Source organism: Homo sapiens, chromosome 2, assembly GCF_000001405.40.
Source record: "Homo sapiens chromosome 2, GRCh38.p14 Primary Assembly".
NCBI lineage: Eukaryota > Metazoa > Chordata > Mammalia > Primates > Hominidae > Homo > Homo sapiens.
Genome location: NC_000002.12, coordinates 102420248 through 102444791, shown reverse-complemented (window position 1 = coordinate 102444791; position 24544 = coordinate 102420248). Strand labels below are relative to the sequence as shown.

At 39.1% G+C, this 24544-nt stretch overlaps 1 protein-coding gene and 1 non-coding gene across 14 annotated transcripts in view; both read right to left on the bottom strand.

Annotated features, from left to right (window-relative positions):
* Nucleotides 1-24544, bottom strand: part of IL18RAP (interleukin 18 receptor accessory protein) — a 33945-nt gene that overhangs the window by 7774 nt on the left and 1627 nt on the right. For 3 of the 13 annotated variants that reach the window (NM_001393486.1, XM_024453201.2, NM_003853.4), the window contains 6 exons: nt 21445-21614; nt 20657-20981; nt 20378-20561; nt 7430-7580; nt 3415-3480; nt 1469-1592 (listed from right to left, as the gene is read on the bottom strand). In NM_001393486.1, the coding sequence (NP_001380415.1) occupies nt 1469-1592; nt 3415-3480; nt 7430-7580; nt 20378-20561; nt 20657-20981; nt 21445-21514 (920 nt within the window). In that variant the 5' untranslated portion in view covers nt 21515-21614. Of the gene's footprint in view, nt 1-699; nt 1277-1468; nt 1593-3414; nt 3481-7429; nt 7581-20377; nt 20982-21444; nt 21633-22244; nt 23200-24544 lie in introns of those variants that run through there. The other 10 variants (XR_007083519.1, XM_024453199.2, XM_047446163.1 and 7 more) reach the window with 10 other exon arrangements.
* Nucleotides 12426-12503, bottom strand: MIR4772 (microRNA 4772). The gene has a single exon (NR_039930.1). It is a non-coding gene; the product is annotated as a microRNA 4772 (primary transcript).

Here is a 24544-nt window from a genome sequence, read left to right as displayed (position 1 = left end):
AGAGTATAATAGGATCATAATGGCCTTGGCCAGTGACAAGGACAAGGCAAAGAAGGTGGGTGAGTAGCCCCAGACCACACTGCAGGGAATGGGCAGCTTGATTCCTGGGCTTGTGCCACGCTGCTCCACCCAGGAAGTTGGGAGTCTTGGCATTTATTCACAATTTGAGTTCTCTGAAGTTACCAATCTACAATCCATCTTTGTGTTAAGAAATCTTGTGTATGTGAATGATGTTTTAGGCTGTGTTGCTCTGAGACCACGATGCCAGCTCCTATTCACTGAGTGCTTCCTACCTGTCACACATTGTGATAGGCATAACACCTCTGCTGTAACCACGCCTCCCAGTGAGCTTGCAAAGTGCAGGCTATTATCCATAGATTATCAATGGGTGATGGAGGCTCACCGGGGCTAAGGGTCATGTTGACATCAGATAGAAAATGGGTTTAAACCCAAGGGTGGGTGATGTCAAAACATACCCTCTTGACTACACTCTCCTACTGTGAACTCTAATGCAATATCAGCTTAAGATGGGCCCCAATGACCTTCCTGATCTTAGAAATTCTTGCTAAATTTTATTGTTGTGACCAAAATCTGTTCTGTACTTTTTTGTAATGATGTATACTTTTCAAAATGATATTGCATTTTCTTATTGATATCTGTTAAGTATCAGAAGAAGGTACTTAATGCATAGACTCTTACTCTGGGTCACATCTTCGAAAAATCAGGGAATGCATCCTTTGGAGACACATCTGATTGGACATCACTGGATCCAGGCCCTTTGATCCTTCTGGGGACTGGAGATCAACTTTTTTTGTGATTGGATAGCTCCAAATATCTAGGGTTTTCTACTGGCCAAAATATCTCACCAGTAAATTCAAACCACTGATCCGGGTTCTGTGCTCCAGAGAGCAACAAACCAAGTCAAATTTCTCAAACAATGTAATAGCTCCCAAGGATTTCAAGACAGAGAGCCCTCCTCTGAGCCTCTTTTTCGGGGTTAAGTTGCTTCAGGTATTCCTCACTTCACATATTTTTTGTCAGACTTATTATTATGATGCCATTTCCCCTGGAGGTTTTCTAGACTGTTCATTACCCCACACATCTGGATCCCTGTACCCCCACACTCTCTGAACGGGTGGCACCGGTGAAAAGCAGAGTGAGGGTAAGCAGCATTTCCTCCCATTTCTTGGACATATTACTTATCTCCAAGCAGTCTGGGTCAGTACAACTGTCTGCTCAATAGCTTGACTTTGAGAGCAGCCACGTCAAACTGTTCCTACAAATTGAGGTTTAAAACAACTTAAATATTTCATTCAACGGCCGTTTGCACTTTGCATTTTTGTGCTTTTATTTTCACCACTAGTCGGTGCTGGTGGCTACACCATCAACTGTATACTTTAGGCATTTCTAAAGGTAGAAGTATCTCTTCTGAATTGCAGAGAACAGAATCCGTGAGTTTTTTTCTTACCTTTTCGCCTCAGGTACTGAGACTTCCCACTCTAGGTCAGAATCTTTGATGTACCATTTTATGACAGGGTTAAAGACCCTTTCAAAGCCAAATCGTGCTTTGCAGCTAATAGTTAAAGGCTTTCCTGAAAATGAAGAGGCCAGAGAAAACAAGAAGGAAGCTGGTGAGAATACTTTGTCCTACATCTGGGAGGAAGACGTCGCCAGAAGCTGTCTCCTGATGCAATCAGGTTTGCAGGTAGAATATGTGTGCCAGAAATAATGAAACGTCTACACAGCTCTCATTCAGAAATGCATAAAACCAGGTACATTTTTTCTAATGGGCAATCCTTCTATCTCAACCATATGACTATATGTTCTTAAAATGAAGATGAGCATGATTATATCACTAAGGGTCCTTATGTGGATTGAGGGAGACACTAAGAAAACTAAGAAAATGAGGAGTTTCTGAGATCAGCCCGGTCTTCTGCACTACTGTTGAAGTACAAGGTGTGTCCATAAAGAAAATTTTACTATCCAATATTTGTTTATTAAGTAAAAATCATAAAGTTATTGTAGCACGTGGTTTAAATAAAAAAATTATTTCGATATTAAGCAATTTTTCTGAACAATTCACTATGGATGGGCATGCATATTATGAGACTAACTTTTTTCTACCCATTTTTTTCCATGAGGAATATTCACATATGCTCTGCCTCAAATCTAATATTTAACCATGAAATGACTAGGAGCTCCATTTGAATACTCATCTTTGCACCTTAACGTTTTTCCACTGGTAATACCTTATAATTCACTAATACATATGTAACTTGACTATATGAATTAATCTAATTTTTTCCTCCTTCTTTCCTCCTTCCTTCCATTCCTGTGACGTTGAGCACATAGTTAGTGCTATTTCTAGAGTCAGAACACACCACTCCTGCCATCTAGTGATCTTATATCATAACATGTATTTTTATGTTTCTTTCTAAAATAATAAATGTTTTAGTAGCATTTTAGAAAGTATAATAATAATAAAAAAATTTATATTATTAAAAGAAAAACAGCATTTTATTTTTAATACAGCAATTCTTATTTGTCTGTGTAGAAAGACATAGATATTATTGAAGTTGACAAAATAAAAGGAGACCCACAGGGAAGTCAATTTCTCCTCAACCCCAAAGAAGACACTACTTTGGAATACAAATTGTTTGGGCAGGGGTTGTAGAATTCTACTACAGTTCTCTTAAATGCCAGATTAAATGTCATATTCATAAGAGTTAATGTTACTCAGGTTGGCGAATTTGTAGTCATAACTGATAGACCTAACCAACATGTACGAAACCACCTGTTCCTGGGGAAGTTAAGGAAGAATAAAATCTATTGATCAGGTTTCATGCTCCAGCCACTTAACATACATTGTCCCATTATTTCTCAGTATAATTTTTTTTTTTCTTTGAGATGGAATCTTGCTCTGCCACCCAGGATGGAGTGCAATGGCTCGATCTCGGCTCACTGTAACCTCCGCCTCCCAGGTTCAGGTGATTCTCCTGCCTTGTCATCCTGAGTAGCTGGGATTACAGGCACCCACACCCACGCCCGGCTAATTTTTGTAGTTTTAGTAGAGATGGGGTTTCACCATGTTGGCCAGGCTGGTCTCAAACTCCTGACCTCAAGTGATCTACCCACCTCAGCCTCCCAAAGTGCTGGGATTACAGGCATAAGCCACCATGCCCGGCCTGCAATATAATCTTTTAGGGTCAGTTTTATGATAGCTATTTGCGGATTTAAGTACTGAGGCTTAAAGGATGAAGTAACTGTGCAAAGTCACAAAACTAGTCAATGGCTGAGTTAAGATTCACACCCAATTCTGTTTGACTGGAAATCCCAATGCTGTTTTCCTTCTATCACACTTAGACCTGCTCCCAGCAGCACGATGTCATTCAAAGGCGATGAGGCCCAGCTTACCAAGTTCTACTTCCAGTGTGTCCTCGACAGGATCCAGAATATCTGGTTTGAGTTTAGTGTCTCCCACTGAAAGATGAAAACAAAGATTACTATTTGCATTGGAAAGTCTGAAGGCCTGCTTGATGAAGATTTAGGTGCACAGCCACACTTTGATCTAAATGTCTTGGAGCTCTGTCTTCACATTTTACTAATTACCTGTAAGTTAGGAATTCCGGTTTCCATGTAAAAAGCTTGCCCCCTAAAATGACTGCCACATCAGGTTGTGGGTGCTGGTAAAACATTAGTTGTTAATTGATCCATATCTGCTTGTGTGCATTCTCTTTCACACTAATCCTGCCCCTTGCAGACCTGAGCTCCTATCCCTGTCTTTTCCCACAAGATTTCTTTGTGGTGCCATCTGGCTGAGTAATTGAACTGAAAGGAGAATCCACCCAAGAAACTGTGCAAGTCAAGCATATCCGAGTCCACCCCTCCATCCTTAAACTCATGGTTTATTTCAAAATAAAGAAGAGTCCAGTCCTTAATTAACAATTTTATCCATCAACTTCTTGCCACAAATATGCCTCCACTGTCAAATATGCCTCCACTGTCAAACTTCCTCCTGAAGGTGTGTCTTTTTCTGGATAAAGAAAAATCCAGGGTCTTTGCTGTTGACATCACCTACTTTTACTTCTCAGAGACCTCCTTCTCCCCTTTGCACCATCTCAGTCCTGTATTTTTAACTTGTCTCTCTCTCCCTCTCTCTCTCTCGCTTTCTCTGGGCTTCTTCTCATCAACATTTATTCATGCTCAGTCTCATCATCCTAAAAAAGAGAAAACACACCCTGCCTTATATCCCAGCCTCACTTATTCTCCTTCCTTCCCAGCCAAATTCTTGAAAGGCAGTTCTATGTGCTAATTCCCTCCATCCTTTCACCTCCTATGGAACCTGATTTCCGCCGCCATCTGTCCACTAAAACTGCTTAACCAAATTCACCAGTGCCACCTATGCACCTAAATCCATTGGGCATAATCACATTTTTCGTCTACTTTACCTCTTAGCAGCATTGGACACTGTTGGCCATGCTCTCTTTGAAACCCTCTCTTCTTTTGGTTCCATGTTCCCGTACTCTACTGCTTACTTTCAACCGCTATATTCACTTCTCTGTGCCTGTCCCTTCCTCTGTGTCTCTTTTAACTATTAGTCCTCTCCTAGTGTTCTTTCACTCCTCCTGATACCCCTGGGTAGTAAGTTTACTCTCTAGGCCTCTTCCCTATGAAAGGTCTTGGTGCCTGAGGTTATGTCTTTCCTACATCATCAATTTCACTTCGTTTGTTTCTCTTCTCACCACCCTTCCACTGATATTCACTTGCTGATGTATGTTCCCATCCTCTTTGAGGATTGTCTTCCTCTTCTCCACCTCTTCAAGCATTTCCGGGTTTGGCTCTAGCCCCTTCTGTCTCTATGCCCACTTCCTAGGTGATCTCATTCAGCTCTTTGGCTTCAGATATTATGTAAAAATCGATCATCTTCACATTCACATCTCCAGCCCTAACTTCTCCAGACTGGCTTGTCCAAATACCTACTTGTCGTCATGACTTGGATGACTAAAAGTCCTTTTAAGCCTAATACTTAATCTCCTCTTCAAATGCTCTTTCCCTTCAGCTTTTTCAGTCTCCTTAAATGGTACCACCATTCACTAACTTATCCAGGGCAGAAAACAAAAAACATCCTTGATTCTTCTCTTTCTCCTACCTTTTATGTAAAAACCATTATCATGCTCTGTTGACCTACAAGTCCAGCTACTTCTCATCACCTCTGCTAGGTCTATTTACAGCACAAGCAGAGGCATGGTTTAACCATGAGTCAAGCTTGCTGCTCCACGACTGTGCCTGCTCTCATCCTCTGTACTGTTGTGCTCTGTCAGCACATTCCCTCCTTGACCAGCTCAAAGGCTGGCTTGTATCCATGGCTCCTGCTTTCCCTCTTCCTTGCTCCCGAACACCAAATCCTTTAAATGTACCTCTTAAACATTTCCAAAGTCATCCACTTCTCTCCATTCCCTCTACCACTCCCTAGTTCAGATCCCTATCAGCAACTGCCTGCTTGACCACAGAACTTCCTAACTCTTCTCCCTGCCTCCATTCCTGCTCTTACAAACCCACTTCCGACCCAGCAAACAAGGTGATCTATCTTGAATACAAATTCAGTCACGACATTCTCCCACTTAAAATCCTCAATGCCTCCCCATTGTTCCTTCATAAATTTTAACACGTATTAGATAATTAGGTAATTAGATAATTTTAACACGTATTAGAAGAGTGTGATGTCAGTCCTACTCCCAGATGCTCTTCTTCATCTCCTGGACATCAGCTCTGCTGCTTCCTCAGTCTGGAATGGAAGCTCCCCACCCTTACTGAGCTGGTGTGTCCTCATCCATCAGCTCTCACTTGGAGCGGGCTTCCCCAGGTTGGGTCTGGTGGGCCTCCATGTGCCCATAGTGCTCCTTTCTCTTGCTGCACTGTATTATGACAGCCTGCTTCACCTTTGTCTTCTTCTCAAAATGGAAAGTTCTTGGAGGCCAGATAAAGCATCCGGGCACTCATTCTTGTAGCCTTAGCTCCAAGCCTGACACATATTACATGTTCAGTAAATATTTGTGTGGAAATGAATAAATATGAGAATGAATGATTAAATGAGGAAGACAGGGATGACAACAGAGAGGGCTTGACTGAAATAGATGCAACAGATGTTGCAAGGTGTCCCTTGGGTGACAGAAAAGCAGATTATGCCATTGAGAATTTGAGGGGCTGAGTGATGGCTGAGTTAAAGAACAATTACACATCACTTGGAGGGGAAAAGTGGTGCGAGTGGGGTATTTACATTCTAACTTCTCTTTCAAGAAGCAATCTAATAATATAAAATGAAATCTTATCTATATAACATGTAATCTAAATTAATATAAAATAATTCTGAAGTGCTAGAGGGTGCAAGGGGCAGGAGAGTTTCACTTGGTCTTGGGGTGCTCTGTGTGGTTTGTATCTTGTAATAAGAAAAGATTAATATCTTAACTAACAGCTACGTCAACCACTCTGTTGCTCTTTGATATAAAGCATGAGTGACTGGCTGTCTTATGTTTTCACTTCTTAGACCACATTTAAATTAATTCTATCACATAGTTGATTCAAGCTGATGCTTGCAGATCTGGTAAGAACGACCCAAGGGAAAGGTTAGGACAAAAACAGACAAGTTGCGGAAGAAAGCCAATGAACCAAAAAACATATAGCAAAATGTTCAACCTCATATTAGTCAGGGAAGTATACTATGGAGCAGAAAAGAAACAAATAAAAACAAAGCTCCACTTAACACCAGTCATAAAGTCTGATAACACCAAGTATTATTTGGGAACAAAGGGCATTTACTGCTAATGGGGCTGTAAATTGGCAAACCAATAATTTAATAAAATACCAAGTGTTTATGACACAAACATATTTCATAACTCAAAACAATATTCTATTTTGTTAATAGATGCATACATATGTAGAAAAAGCATAAAAACATAAATGGAAATGATATAAATGACAAGATGTTACTATACTGTGGGAGCAAAGGCCTGGAAGAGAATGGGGTCATAGACCTCAAGTTGTCTTTGCAATATTTTGTTACTTTAAAGAAAAAAAATTATGATTTGAAGCATGTGGGAAAATGGTAACATAGTTAAAACTGGTGATAGGTACCTGGATGTCACAATATTTCTGTGTGTGAAATGTTTCATACATTTTTTAAATTTATTACAAAAGCAAATCAGGGACATATTCATGGACAACCCAACTTGTGAGAATTTGAAACTGTTTCAGAACTTAGCCTTCCCTGGGGGATGGCAACTTTGATGTTTGCCCACATGAAAGGTTTTACATGATTACAAGTATATGACTATCCTTTTCTTTCCCTAAGAGGAAAAACTTACTAAGCCAAAAGAAGATAATTTTAATTTGCTGCTCAGATCTCAAATCTTGAGATAAAAATCTCACTTACCAATGGTTCTCACTTGAACAACAGCTCTGACTGTCCACGAACTCACAGTATCCGACTGAGTGTAATCACATACATATGTGCCCTGGTGATAGTCATAAACTTCATCCACTACGATTCGGTTGCTCCTTTCCACAGAGAGGAGTTTTCCATTCTAATCCAAAAGATATTTTAAGCAGATAAATTTGCCACAGAAAAACTTTATGAAATACATACCTAAAGAAAAATCTTACAAATTTGAACAGGGAGGAAGAAGGTCAATCTGAGATAAGGGTATCTCACAAGCTATGAAGACATTGTGTTCAAAAACTGTACTTGTAGATTTGAAACAAGAGGCATTTTCCAATACAATTGCATTATGTGTAGAGATGAGAGAGTCAAACCTCCAAACCTGATCAGCCCCTAAACAGCTATTTAACAAAGGACTTCCCAGAGCATGCATGACTTGGAGCCCTGAGAGTATTCTGGAAGACCTGTAGTGTTCTAAGGGCTGAAACTGAAATGAATTTTTTAATGTGTGTGTGTATACATACATATATATATATACACACACACACACATATATATACATACACACACATATATATAACATATATTGTATATATTTACGTATATAAACAGATACATACTTATAAATAAAAACTTATATAAACAGAGGTTCTGGAACGTGAGTGGCTTTTTTTTCTCTCTCTGACAAAGCTGGTAAGTGAGAGCACTGAGAATCAACCTCATTTTTTTCTGGTTCTGAGTTTTATTTTCTGATTGAGGAATTTCCCTTCCACTTTGCCTGCCTACTAGTAGAAGCTGGGATTCCCCCACGCCACATCCCTCGTGTGTTTCCTGTGGTCCAAGAAGGAATTTCCAGCAGGCTGGAAAGGAGACTAAGGGTGGGGGCAGAGTGGCCAGAGAAGTGCAGCTGTGGGCAGGAAGCAAAACAAGGCAAAGAGGTAGTGGTATACAAGGCTAAATATATACCAGATGATCTCAAGAATCAGGAACTTTTCAAAAGGAAGTTTTAAAACATAGGGGGAAATTCAAAGATAAAACTTCAGAGGACGCAGTGATAACATATAAAGATCAGAATTCAGGGGAGAGGCGTGTCATAAATCGCATGAGAACGTAATGGTGGGAGGACACAGAGCCGTAACTAAGACCTCACCTAAGCCAAGGGGGAGGATGGGGAATAATGTATCTTTTTTACCCATAAATAGGTAAGTGAGGCTTAGTATGTATCATTAAGACTTTATGAAATGGAACTTAGAGGAAATATCAAAGAAAAGAAATTAGGGAGAAGCAATTTATGCCAAGGATGATGGGAAACCCATTCTAATAATACAATTACAGTTAATCCTCATAGGACAAAGAGAGGCTAATGCAGCTGCACAGGGAACTCTTGGTTTTGCTCATATGTGAAGCAGTCATGAGCAGAATATGGAAACAGGAACATCCGCCACTGTGAATCTGAATGAATAATGTCCGTAAGTCTTCAAAAGAGTGGAGGCATGCAAAAAAAAAAAAAAAATGAAGACACTGCAAAGGACTTTTAAAGGTATATGTGAAGCAGGGAGAAGAACAGTTATTCTTACTACTAGGGGCAGGTATTATAATATTATACTGCAGTATTATCGATTTCTTATACTACCAGTCAGTACAGCTACTGAGCATCACGCACACTGTGTTATTCTATGGGAATGGTACTTCCTGGATTTGGACAACACACTGGAGCTCCTAGCTGGACTTCCACTACCCAGTCTGGGAGGACTCCAAAGACCTGCATTTCTTTCACTCTCCTCCCTGGCCTATTCTCCCTGGTGCATTTCAGGTTTTCATATCCATTTTAATGTTCCTTATCATAGACTCATTGTGTCCAGGTCTGTATTCATCACAGCTTTCCTGCTCCTAATTGAATTTACTACTACTATCTCATATATGTTGAGCCAGAAAAACACCAAATATGCTACTCATCTATTTTACACACACTCCCAGTCAAAGCTTTTAATCTTTCATTTTATTACATGAAAATATCACTAGCATCTGCCACCTTCTTTCTGTTTCCACTTCTTTCTGTCCTGTCCTGGATCAGGACTCACACTCATAAAGTTCAAACACATCAGCAAGGTCCCCATAACCATCATGAGAACCACACAACCTTTATTTCCATTCTAGTCCTAATTAAACCACTTAAGAACTCTCAGCTCCCACCACAGTGAGCCACTCAGTGTGACCATACACTGAACATACCCTTTGCTTTTCTGTTTCTGTTGTCTATGTTGCTCTTTCCCGTTAAGTGTAGTTGCAGTCTCTTGCCCCAGTTATCAACTAACAACATTCTATTGATAGATTTTTTTTTTACTAATATTTATCTTTTAATGGGAATGGAGTATATTATGGAAATTATTGATAATGGGCTAGATGTCAATTTCTAGTGAAAGTCTTGAATTAATTATTTAACAGATGGTTTATGAACCCTTAGAAAAGGAAGTGATGGTTAATATCAGCCAGCTTGCATTTGCTAACAACAATCATATCAAGGCAATCTCATTGTTGCCCACAACTGAATAGACTGGAGGTTCACAGGAGTATGGCAGACACAGAGTATCTTCACTATTGTGAGTCACTTGAAAAATATTCTCATGATCTCTCTGTTAAACCAAAGGTACATTGTGAGCTGAATGATCAGATATAGGGCATTCGAGTGCCCTTTTAGTTAATTAAGCAACACCCTTGCGTTGTGGATGAATGGATCATATGTAACTAGAAGGATCAAACTGGAGTTAACAGCAGAGCACTCTGTCCCTGGTGTTAGCCTCGCCCGTAGTTTTAGCAGGGGCTTGAGGGAGAACATACCATGTTGATCTCATCTACATGCCTCACAAACCTGCGTGTGATGGCTAATATGTTGGCATTCAAAATCAGAATTCCAACCTCTTGACATGTAGAATGAACTAAAAACAACAAATTATTTAACAGAAATAAATATAAAATCATGAACATAAGTTACAAATTCTACTCTACAAACAAAAATAGAGAGAACTTGCTTGATTTCAGTTTTTGTGGAAAGACTTGCCTGCCAACTCAGAATAAATCAACCATATAATGAGGCTGTCCCAAAGCTAAAACAATAGTGGGGCTGTGGCAATATTCTGTTCTGAACAAGTAAGGAAATTCTTCCTCTGTTTCAGTGCTGGTTAGACAGCATACAGATGATTGTTTTGAACAGGTGTTAGAAAGCTGTCCAGATCTTCAGAGTTCTGAAATGTTCATAGTGAGAATAATCAAATGGGCCAATGTTTCAACCCTAGAAACAGTTTTGAGAAATATAATCTAAATTATCTTCTTCCTATTTGGAAACACATTAAATTAACTTATTCTCTATTTAGAAACACATTAATCTTTGAATCTAGCCAGTCTCACCATGCTTACCAGTTATCCACAGCACTAGGCCCACAGGATGCCAACAGGTGCCAGTTACAAGAACTAGGAAATGAGAAGTATCAGGTATAGGTACAAAACTTCTTTGGGGTCGGCATGATGGCTCACACCTGTAATCCCAGCACTTTGAGAGGCCGAGGCAGGTGGATCACCTGAGGTCAGGAGTTGGAGACCAGCCTGGCCAACATGGTGAAACCCCATCTCTGCTAAAAATACAAAAATTAGCTGGGTGTGGTGGCGCACACCTGTAATCCCAGCTACTTGGGAGGCTGAGGCATGAGAATAGCTTGAACCTGGGAGGTGGAGGTTGCAGTGAGCCAAGTCTCTAGCTCAGTGCACTGAGCTAGATGCGCTCTAGCCTAGGCGACAAAGAGAGAGATTCCATCTCAAAAAACAAACAAACTTCTTTGTGGTTGGCATGATGGCTCACACCTGTAATCCCAGCACTTTGGAAGGCCAAGGCAGGAGGATTGGTTGAAACCATGAATTTGAAACCAGCCTGAGCAACATAGTGAAACCCCTTCTCTACAAAAAATTTTTAAAATTAGCTGGGTGCAGTGGTATGTGCCTGTAGTCCCAACTACTTGAGATGCTAAGGCTGGAGGATCACTTGGGCCCAGAAGTTCAAGACTGCAGGGAGCTGTGATTACACCACTGTACTCCAACCTAGGTGGCAGAATAAGATCCTATCTCTAAAACAAACAAACAAAAACCTTCCATGCAACATAGGGCTTAAAATCAACCCAGCAGCCATGTCAGAAGTGTGGCAAGAGAATGTGGCATGAGTGAGATTGTCTTAAACCACCAATGGAAATGTTATTCAAGGTGCAAGTCCTACTAACAGGAGGTCACAGCAATGTCGTCAAAACTCATATCTCGGTGCCCTAGGCCAGTACAGGAGAGACTTTCCTACTACCCTTGATTATAATTTTGACTTGTGTCAAGGATTTGCTTAGCTGAAGATCATAAAATGCCGTTACATTACATGTAACTATTATTTATTTAAGATGAAGTTTGTTTATGCCAAGGCTATTTTTTCATTACATTTTTAGAAATTAGAAAAATATATAGAAAAAGTTAGTAGCATAAATAATAAATAACTCACTTTAATTCTGACTTTTTCAGTCATTAAATATTTTAATTAATAATCTCCAAGCATGGTGACCCAGCCAGGCTCCAGCACCTTCCTGCAGCCTTCCCCAGGCCAGGAGGCAAAGGCAGGTCAGCAGTTATCTGCAGAAGGAGCAGCTGGCCCCACCCAGGTCCAGAAGGTGCGTGGCAACCCAATCAAGCCTCAATGCCCTGCCTAAGGCTATCCCTGGCCCAGGGGTAAGATCAAGCCCACACACATCTTTGTAGCCTAGTTTCTCCCCCTGCCCATCCCAAATTGCTGAGCAGCAATCCCAGATAACTAACTTTGCCTCAGGGCCTAGCCTGTTGTCCTGCCCAACTACACATTCTAACAACAGTATTTCTCGGCCAGATGTAGGGCATTTGGGTGCCCTTTTAGTTAATTAAGCAATTCCTTCATGTTGTGGGTGAATGGAAGACACAAGGGTATTGCTCTGTGACTGCCTCTGATCAGGCAAAGTTGCAGGCTATTTGGGAAGACAGTCTGCAATTTTGCCTGATCAGAGGCAATCACAGAGCTCAGCCAGCGACTCAACCTGACCATAGAGTTCAGAAAGTGGTCTCACTGGAACGCAAAGCACAGCAAGCAATTCCACTTGACCTCAGTGCACAGAAAACAGCCAAGCCCACCTAGAGAACTCAACACCAAAGTCTGCTTATCTGGGATTGCTACCAACTAGCCCACCTGGAATCCCAGGCTAGACTACATAGTGAAGGTCTGCTACCACCAAAGATCACCTACAAAGACCAAAAGAGGTGGCTGTTTCCTCAACTGCATAGGCACCAATGCAAGGAACAATGATTATGAAAAATCAAGGAAATATGTCACCATCAAAAGAAACTAAGAAAGCTATCATAATGAAATAGGAAGAAGTAAAGATCTAAGAAATAACTGACAAAACTTCAGAATAATCCTCTTAAAGTAGTTTAGGAAACTACAAGAAAATATGTATAAAAATAAAATAAATTTTAAAAACAATTTTCAAAACAAAATGAAAAGTTTAATAATAGAGAAATAGAAAAAAAAGTTTTAAATAGAAATCCTTCTCCCTGAAGTGTGGGTATTTGAAAAATAAAGAAATCCTACAGATAAAGAATATAATACCTGAACTATAATATCAACAGCAGATTTGATTAAGCAGAAGAAAGCATCCGTGATGTCAGAGATGACATTTGAAATTATCTAGTCAGAGGAGCAAAAAGAAAAAAGAATGAAAAGGCTTATGGAAATTATGGGACACCTTCAAGATTCACATATTAGGAATTTTGGAAGATGGAAGAAAAAAGAAGTCAGAAAGCATATTTAAGGGAATATCAGCTGAATATTTCCTAAATCTAGGGAAAGATGACATTCATGCATAGGAAACTCAGAAGTTGCCAATCAAATTCAACCCAAAAGGGGTTTACCAAGATACATCATAATCAAATTGTCAAAAATTCAAAGACAAAGAAAGAATATTGAAAGTAGCAAGAGATGAGAAACATATCATGTTCAAGAAAGTCCCAATATTGCTATCAGTGGATTTCTCAGCAGAAACGATATAGGCCAGGAGAGAGTGGGATGATATATTCAGTGTTGAAGGAAAAAAACCCAAACAAACTGCCAACCAAGCAAAGCTGTCCTTCAGAAATGAGAGGGAAATTAAACTTTCCCAGACAAACAAAAGCTAAGGGAGTTCATCACCACTTGGTCTACTTTTAAGAATTGCTAAAAGGAATTATTTAAACTGAAATGAATGCCTGCTAATTAATAACAAAAAATATGAAAGTAAAAAATTCAATGGTAATAGTTAATACATAGTCATATTCATAATTCATTAATAATGTAAGGGTGGTATATAAAGCAATTTATCATTACTATGAAGGTTAATAGACAAAACTAATAAAAACAATCCTAGCTGTAATTAATCATTAAGAAACAGAAACTACAACAAATGTAAAATTTGACATCAAACCCATAAAAGGTAGCGGGGAGGAAATGAAAGTGTACTTGTTGTATATAAAGTTAAGTTGTTATTAGCTTAACTAGCCTGTTATGAAGTGTTTTATGGAAGCCTCATAGTAACCACAAAACAAAAACGTGTAGTAGTGGCACAAAATATGAATATAAAAGATTCAAAGCATAGCACCAAAGAAAGCCATCAAGACACAAAGGAAGATACTAACAGAGAAATAAGTAACAAAAAACCTACAAAACACACAGAAAATAAGTTACAAAATGGCAACAGCCTGTGCTTATCTACCAATAATCACCTTGAATGTAAATGGATTAATCAAACCATTTACAATATGTCTCCAATCAAAAGACATTTAAAAATTCAGCTATATGCTGCCTTCAAGAGATTTACTAATAAGGACACATATAGACTAGAAGGGAAAAAACGGACAAAGATATTCCATACAAACCAAAACCAAGAGAGAGCAGGGATAGCTCTACTTATATCAGACAAAATAGACTTTCAGTAAAAAAACTATAAAAAGAAACAAGAAAGATCATTGTATAATGATAAAGAGTCCATTCACTAAGAGGATATAACAATTGTAGATACATAGGCACCCAACATTAGAGCGCTTAAATATATAACGCATTTATTAAATGAAGAAAGAGATAGACTGCAATACAATAATAGTAAGAAACTCAATACCTTAATTTCAACTATGGACAGCTCATTTAAACAGAAAATAAACTTCAAAAATTGGCCTTGAATTACGCTTTTGACCAAATGGACCTAACAGACATATACAGAACATTCTATCCAACAGCAGCAGAATACACATCCTTCTCAAGTACACATAGAACATTTTCCAGGAAGGATACGTTCAGCTACAAGATAAGTCTTAACAACTTTAAGAAAATTGAAATCATATCAAGTGTATTTTGGGCTACAAAGGCATAAAGGTAGAAATCTAAAAACAGAAAATATCTTGGAAAATATGCACATATGCAGAAATGAAACAAAGTGCTCCTAAACAACCAATGGGATAAAGAAGAAATAAAAAGGAAGTTAAAAAATAAATTGAGACAAACAAGTTAAAACACAGTGTACTAAAACATGTGGGATGCAGCGAAAGCAGTCCTGAGGGAAATTTATAGCAATGAATGTCTGCATTGAAACACAGGAAAGATTTCAAATAAGCAATCTAATGATACACAGAAAGATGTTAGAAAAAGGGTAATAAATGAAGCCCAAAGTTTGCAGAAGAAAGGAAGTAACAAAGATAAAAGCAGAAATAAATGAAACAGAGATTAGAAAAACAATAGGAAAAAATGAATAAAACTAAGAGTTGGTTTACTGAAAAAACTAAAAACAAAATTAACAAACTCTTAGCTAGACTAAGAAAAAAGAGAACACTCAAATAGATAAAATCAGAAATGAAAGAGTAGACATTACAACCAATACCACAAAAATACAAAGGATTATAAGAAACTACTACGAACAATTATATGCCAATAAAATGAATAACCTAAAAGAAACAGATATATTCCTAGACACATACAACCTACCAAGATTGGATCATAAAGAAACAGAAAATCTAAACAGACCAATAATGAATAAGGAGACTGAATCAGTAATAAAACTTCCAAGCTAATTTTATGAATCAAGCATCACTCTGATACCAAAGCCAGAAAAGGCCAGTACAAGAAAATTGTAGGCCAGTATCTGAAAAATACAGATGCAAAAATCCACAACAAAATATTAGCAAACCAAATTCAACCATACATTAAAAGAATCATTCACCATGGTCAAGTGGGATTTATCCCTGGGATGCAAGGATGTTTCAATATACATGAATCAATAAATATGATAGACTACATTAATAAAATGAAAGATAAAAACTGTATGATGATCTCAATCGATGCAGAAATATCATTTGACAAAATCTAACACCCTTCATGATAAAAACCCTCAACCAATTAAGTATAGAGGGACTGTACCTCAATACAATAAAGGCCATATATGACAAACCCATAGCTATACTCAACTGTGAAAAGTTGAAATCTTTTCCTCTAAGAACAGATTAACAAAACAAGAATGTGCACTCTTACTACCTCGTTTCATCATAGCACTGGAAGTCCTAGCCAGAGCAATTAGGCAAGAGAAACAAATAAAAAGCATTTTAGTAGAAAAACAAGTAAAATTGCCTTTATTTGTTGGTGACATGATCTCATTTATAGAAAACTCTAAAGACTCCACTAAAAAACTGTTAGAAGTGATAAATGAATTCAGTAAAATTGCAGGATGTAAAATCAACGTATAAAAATTAGCAGTGTTTCCCTGTACTGAAAATGAACTGTCTGCAGAAAAGGAAATTAAGTAAACAAGCCCACTTACCATAGGAACTAACATAGTAAAATAGTTGGGTATAAATTTAACCAAGAAGGTAAAGGACCTATATACTGAAAATTATAAAAAAAAAAAAACTAACAAAAGGAATGGAAGAAAACACAAATAAATATGAAAGTATTCTGTGTCCATGGATTGGAAGAATTAATATTGAGAAAATGTCCTTACTACTCAAAGTGATCTACACATTCAATGCAAACCCTATCAAAATGTCGTTGTTTTTTACAGAAATACAAAAAACTACCCTTAAATTCATATGGAACCACAAAAGACCCCAAATAACCAAAACAATCTTGAGCAAAAAGAACAAAGCTAGATGGTTCATACTCCGTGATTTCAAAATATATTGTTAAGCCATTTAAATCAAAACAGCATGGTACTGGCATAAAAACAGACACATGAACAAATGGAATATGACAGAAAGCCCAGAAAGAAACCCACACATTTATGGTCAATAAATTAAAAAAAAAAAAAAAGATGCCAAGAACACACAATGGGGAAAGGATTATCTCTCCAATAAATGGTGTTAGGAAAACCGGCTATCTACAGGGAGAAGAATGAAATTGTATCTCATAGCACATACAACCCATCAATTCAAAATGGGTTAAAGAATGAAATAGAAGACCTAAAGTTGTAAAACTTCTAAAAGAAAACATAGAGGGAAAGCTCTACAGCACTGTTATGGGCAAATATTCTTTTGAATATGACCCTGAAAGCACAGGCAACAAAAACAAAAATAGAAAAATGATATAGCATAAAACTAAAAAGCTTCTGTGTAGCAAAGGAAACAACCCACCAAATGGGGAAAATATTTACAAGCTATATATCTGATAAGGAGTTAATGTGAAGAATATATAAGGAACTCAAACACTGCATTAGCAAGAAAACAAATAGCCCATTTTAAAAATAGGCAAGAGACCTGAAAAGATATTTCTCAAAAGAAAGGATGCAAATGGCCAACAACTATATGAAAAAATGCTGAGTATCACTAATCATCATAGAAATACAAATTGAAACCACAATGACATATCACCTCACACTTGTTAGAGCGGCTTTTATCAAAAAAATTAATCTGTTGTACATTGTTGGTAGAAATGTAAATTAGTACAGCCATTAAGAGAAACTCTATGAAGTCTCATCAGAAAAACTAAAAATAGAGCTACCATATGATTCAGCAATCCCACTTTTGGGTACATATCCAAAGAGATTGAAATCAGTATGGCAAAGGGTTAACTACGCTCCTATGCTTACTGCAGCACTATTCACAATAGCCAAGATATGGAATCAACCTTAGTGTCCATCAACAGAGGAATGGACAAAGAAAATGTGGTACATGTATGCAACGAAATACTATTCAGCCTTTACAAAAGGAAATTCAATCATGTGGGAGAACACGAATAAACTTGGAAGCTATGCTAAGTGAAATAAGCCGGGCACAGAAAGACAAATGCTGCAAGAGCTCACTCATATATAGAACCTTAAAAAGTTGAACTCATAGAAGTAGAGAATAGAATGATGATTATGGAGGCTTGATTGGTGGGGAGAAGAGGGTGAATGGGGAGATACTGGTCAAAGAGTACAAAGTTTCAGATAGATGGGAGGAGTTAAGTTTTCAGGCATATTTCACAGCAAGATAACTATAGCCAATAATATTGTATTGCACATTTCAAAATAACTAAGAGAGTAAGTTTCAAATGTCTGTCCACAAAAAAAGTAAGCAAGGTGATGGATGTGTTAATTAGCTTGAGTTAATCACTCCACATTGTATACATATATCAAAACATCACATCAATACTTTTTTTTGCATGTGGTATGAGATACAATTTCATTCTTCTCCCTGTAGATAACCAGTTTTCCTAACACCACTTATTGGAGAGGTAATCCTTTCCCCATTGTGAGTTCTTGGCATCTTTTTTTAAAATCTATTGACCATTAAATGTATTGTATATATTTAATCTATTGTAAATGTATACAATTATGATTTGTTAATTAAAAATAATTTTAAAATAAAGAAGTTGAAAAAAATTTAAACAATCTGCAAGCCTGTTCTTAATTCGCCAATTAAAAATATTGTGGAATGCTCCAGAGACTCCAAGCCCAGGGATTTATTTCAGTTGTATACTCTGTATATCTGGTGGGTGTATCCCTGGTCAGCAGTTTTATTTGAATTCAGTAAAGCCATGTTTTCATTCTCTCAGCCAGTGCCAGCTTCACCTATTCAGAGATGGGTCGTAGGTATGACTTACCCACCACCTGAGAACCTGGGGGTTAGCATGAAGGAAAAAGGCATTAGGTGTTTTTTCCTGCCTAATGCCATCACTTTTAGTGATGTACTACTGCCATAAGGTCTGTGATTTCCAGGTTACTATGTGCCTTTATATGCATGTGTATGTGTGAGTGCACACACACATATGTGTAATTCACAAAACCAGGACCTGTCCAAATCTGTATCAGAGGTACAATTTTCATAACAGCCATTGTTCACCTATTCTTAAGGTGGCTGCCTGTTCACCATTAAACACATGTTGACGTTTGCAGTCAAAGCCCCAGGGAAGTGAAACAAAGCTTCCTTTTGTGAATGTCATACAGTTTTAGGGTTTAGTTTATAAAAGCAATATTTGCAGAAAGCTGGCTACTATTATGCAACTTGTGCTCACCTGAAAAGTAAAAATTCATAGCTTTCACTTCAGGTGTATGATCATTGAAAAGCCAAACACATTTTCATCTGAAATAACGGGGACAAGACTGCTTTACAGGCCTGAGAACAGCCCACCAAGACAACAAGACAGCTGCCATCCTGGATGACGGATACTTTGAACCAAAGGAAGTTTTGTTCTTGAGAGAGAACTGAAAATAATGAACAAAACTATTGGCTCTTCTTACTAACCTCATTTTAAAGGTTATGAAATGAATGTTTCTGAAATTAGGGTTTTATTGAGACCAGCATTCTTTCAGTGTCATATAAAAACACAAATTTGAGACCATACCCCATGCCGTTCGTCCACCCTGTATATTTATTTCTGTAAAGGATGTGATAACATCTGTCTTCCTATTAGCCTGGAGTCTCAGGAATCAAGTAGGGAAATGTTTCCTCTTACCATGGTAACTGTATCCCCAGGAGACTCTCATTCTTAAAATTTGGGGTGCATTAAACCATTAGATAACTCATCTTTCTGATTTTAATCAGTAGCAATTTAGAATGATATTTTTATATTAACAAACACATATATTATGAGGTTGAATACAAAATTCTGCATAACTTTGAAGACAAAGTATTGAACTTCAAATAGTTATTGCAATTGTAGGAAGTGATTTAGATTCTATTCCTGGATTCCACCACCCAAGAATCAACTGACAGGGGGCTCTTTTGGAGGAGATGGTTAGGCAGCATTTCATCATCTGCTAGCACTTGGAAACACTATCAAACACGATGGAAACATGAAGTGCTTTTGTTATGGGAGTTCACGTACATGTGGTTCATAGCTAAAAGTCATTGTGAAACTTGCTCTTGTTCCCTTTTTCTATTTGCACTGTACTCCTTTCCACCATCTCACCTGTGCAAGACATCTGTCACTCAGGCCCACCTTGGATTCGTCCTAACTGTCCTCCAAGAGCTGTCTTTTGGGAATGTATTTCAGGCTCCTGTAACTTTCACAAACCCTTCAAGACTTATGTGTTGAGTCCTCCCTTCCCCTTTGCAATGCCTGTTGCTTTCCTAAGACAGTGAAAATGAGTGAACCTATCTTCCTACATTAGCAGATGTTAGTAGGTTTATGTCTAACCTCATGTGTAATATACTTGAATTTTAGAAGTTTCTCTGGTGTTGATCAAAAGGATGCCTCTAATAATTAGAATATCAAGCTCTGTGGCTTCCCAGGGAACATGATTATTTTAGAAAGTCAGATCTCCTGCAGAGGCACAGGGCCAGTTTTTGAGAAGCTGTATACCTCAGATTCTCAAACACGCTTTTCCATGAAAAGCCCATGAAGAAGATACCATAAAAACAATGCTCTTATATTAATTTTAGAGAATTCACTCTTACCTTGTACCAGGTTACCGCTGGACTTTGTGCATCACTTTGGCAGCTGAGACTGGGGCAAGAAATAGAGCCAGTGCTCCCAAGAAGTAGGTCTTGCTTATGTGATGCGGAATACTCACAGGATGCATTTGTCTGGGGCTTAACTTCTAAAATCATCTTGACACAACAGGCTACATCATAGGGGCTCCTAGGAAATTAACAAGATCCTGTGAACATAGATATTTTGTCTAGATAATAGAGGATTTGGAAATGTTTTCAGATAGAAATGTATTTGGATCATACTTAATCATCTTGGGTCTACAAATATATGACCCAGAATTATTCACCCCTGGGGTCAAAAAGTGAAGGGTACATTTGTCCTGAATGATGTGAGGATAGCTTTTCCTAATGTCCTCTAATGGATCTCCATTCGAAGGTTGTTGGTACCATTGGACATCAGATAGGTCGTTACTACCCATGAAGGGCAGGTGCTCAGGGACTTGTTTTGGTGAGAGTCGATTTCTGTGGCAGAAATGTGATTTCTGTGGCTCTGGTAAATCACAAAATAAGACAAATTCCTCTTCACTCCTTGTAGAATATGTCCAAAGGAGTTTTTTTGTGGAACAACCTGAAAATCATAATAAACAAAGCACATGGAAACACATTAGAAAATGGAATTCTAGCTTATATTTACATCTAGTACTTGATTTAACAAGAGATCTAGCTTCCTTGTGTGTCTTTCTTCTTCACTGTCTATTTTGTAGGGGAAAGGAAGTGCCTGTTCTAATTCCCTCCCAGTGGACTCCAGCATACCAGCAGCAGCCCTGGTTTCCTGGAAAAGATGGTAGAACTCTGGCTCATCCCTCGTCAGCTGATCTCACTGAACACTCAACTACAGTAACAGGGTACCTCGACAATGCTTGGTATCAGCTGAAAGCTGTTCACCCTAATAATTCTCCTCTCAGTCCCCTTTTAATAGTAGGATGGAAAGGTTTGTATTAATATATCACACTGCTGATATATCAGGTTATCCATCACTTTACACTTGACCACAGACTCACAGTGCTAACATGAAAAGTGAAAACCCCTACCTGAAATATTAAATCCTTTAATTCGCTCTCCTGCAACAAGCCAAAGAAATATCCAGCCCAAACAGAGCATTGTTCTCCCGTGTTCCTGTCATCACTCCAATAACTTCATTCCTTTGCCAGAGTAGAGTGTTTTGAGATTCAGAACTCTGCCCTGAGTATCCCCTTCATTTCTGTAAATCAAGAAATGGGAAATGAAGAAGTCAGAACCAGTGAACAAAGTGCATCTCACACAGGAAGCTTTGAAAGGGCAGGTCCTACCCAAACCGGCCTTCACTTGCCTATAACTTACGTGAGTATTTCCAATGGTGTGTAGCAACCTTTTCACTTGTGTCATTTCTTACAAATCATCTCAAGCTCCCAATATCCCTAGGCTCTATGCAGTGTGTTCTTTTAATGCCATTTTTCCCCTCATTAATCTTTTTTCTTTGATGTGCTCACCTAGCATGTGTATTTCCATGAGTAATTTGAAAAGAGTTATGTTTAACTTTTCCTGAAAAAATGACCCAAGTTGAATAAAACTGTCAGATTTTTCACGGTTAGGAAAGCTAGAGATATAGCTCCTATTTATAAAATTTGAGAATGTTTGCATATACTAGTCTATTCTATTAGAGAATAGAGGCCACCTACCTCTCCCTGCCCCACATGCAAGAGGGAAAATTGTCACTGGATGGCACCACTATCAACTCTCAAATATGAAAGGGGGAGCAGGTCCCCTCCAGAGAATCAGATCTGGGCTGTGTCCAAAGGACTTGAGTCCCCTCTCTTGATAAGGCAGTCATGGGACCTTTCAAACCACTTACTTGAAATATCTTGGGGATCCAGCTGGAGCATTCCCAGGGCAGAGGGGTGGGGAGGCATATGGCTCAGAGCAGGGTCTCAGTTTCAGCAGCTGGAGGGAGCCTGGGGCATCTGTAACAAGCCTGGATTGTTTCTGTTGCCCCATAAGGGAGGGCAGATGAACTTCCCTGAGGAACCTCAACCTTTAAAAGTAGGCCAGGGCTAATGGAAAATAAAGAATGACAAACCTAAAAGGAATGCAAGGAGCAGAGCAGAGAGACCACCTTGGCAATCCAGACAGAGAAAGCTTGGAGGAGAGACTAGACATCAGTTTCAGAAGCTGCAGAGGAGTTGGGCATGAGAAGGACTGAAAAGTGTCCACCAAAGAGTCTTGGTTTGGCCACCAAAAGCTCAGCATGTGCAGCTGGGGTGAGATAACGGAGAGCTTCAGGGTGGAGAGAGAGGAGTAGAGGGAATGTGGGAAGCGGGGAAGAACCACGCCTGCTAGAGTCTGCATGATGCAGGAAGACAGGAGGAAGTGTTTGCTCATTTCTGGAGATGAGAGGGCCTTGGGTAGGATTCCACTGCGAGGGGAATGCGTCAGCAGGTCAGTGAGGACAAATACAAGTGAGAGTGAGGAGAGGGTGCATGGACTGCTTTCTCCCAGGAAGCCAGAAGAAGTGGGGTCCCTGATACCATGGGGAGATTAATCTTGGACAAGAGGCAGGTAGAACCATGCAGGTGAAAAGGAAAGTCTGCCCAGACCACTTTGTCCAGGTGGAGCCAGAAAGTACAGGAAAGTACAGGATGCTACCACCTGGCTGCTGATGCTGACCTGGCTGTCTGCTGAGAGCAAGGCGTGTTCATGGAAGAAAGAAAGGGGGTTCTGTGCAATGCGCCTTGCAGAATGCCACGGATAGGTGTTAAGGTCACTGCATTATCCCCATTGCTGACAACTGACAGCTCTTCTTACAAGGACTGCAACCAAGGAACAAGGCAGGATCAGCAATGGCCTTTAAAGATGTGGTCTCCCCACTTGCCTTTCCCTTGTCCACAAAGTCTCCGAAAGAACAGTCCTCCAACTCCACCACCAGACACATCTTCCTAAGCAGCAAGCCTGGGCATTTCATTTCCATGCCCAAAACGTCACCGGCTCCCACCACCCATGTGATGAAGCACAGATTCCAGAGCACCATGGACAAAATGCTGTAGCGTTTGGCTCTCTCATGTCTTCCCTGATTTCTTCCTCAGAGAGTCGTTCCCTGACCACCTGGATAAAGAAGCGCCCTCTCCCTTCTTGCCATCAACCATCTCTCTTGCTACTCATTTTAAATGACTTTTGTCTTAGCACATATTATTGTCTGAAAATATCTTACTCCTAAAACTTCTCCCCAACTAGAATATAAGTTCCATCCCAGCAGGAACTGAGTTTGTCTTTCTGAGTCCTGCAGCCTCTCTGCAGGAATAGTGCCTAGCTGATAACAGGAGCTCAGTAATGACTTGTTCAGGATTTAACCATGCTGCAGTAGATCAGTTGTTCCTTACACCTTGTCCTCCCACTAGATTGGGAGCTCCTGAAGAGCAGATATCCCATTTCAGAAATCATATATCCTGATCCTAGGAGAGTGCCAAATGAACAATTAGTAATAAATTCTGTGTTCTGAAAAAATGATAAACACTTCCAGAGCCATCAGAACAAACACATAGCAATCTATTATGGTGATTCACATACTGTGTGGCTCCAATTAAGTCACTTAGGCTCTTTTTGGACCTCAGCTTTCTTACCTGCAAAATAAAATGTCTGGACTGTATCAGTAGTTCCTCCACCTTAGAATGAGGGAATCAGAATTTCTGATGTTTAAGTCGGGATATTTGTAATTTTTAAAAAAGCTCCCTGACTTGTAAATCATAAGATCAGATGGTTGCTAAGATCCTCCCAGCTCTACCATCCCGCAATTTATGTCTAAATGTCCAAGCCTATAGCAAATTAGTTACCACGATGCCCAGCAGTCTCCAGCACTCAGGAATGTCCGCCAACCTTGAGATGACAGATACTGCCTACTGATGCACCCACCCACCAACTGGCCTCAGACCTCCAGCTGCCTGGGGCTGATTGCAGGCTGCAGCTATCACTCTGGGACAGTGTTTCTCAAATCATCTTGATTATAAGAATCACCCGAAACCCTTATTACAAATGCAGATTTTTGGGCTTCCTGAGGACTTATTAAATCAGATTCTCAAGGAGAAGAACAATGGAACCTACATTATAAACAAGTGTCAGAGCCACCACGCTCATCTGGGAGACACTTTTGGGAAACCCTGC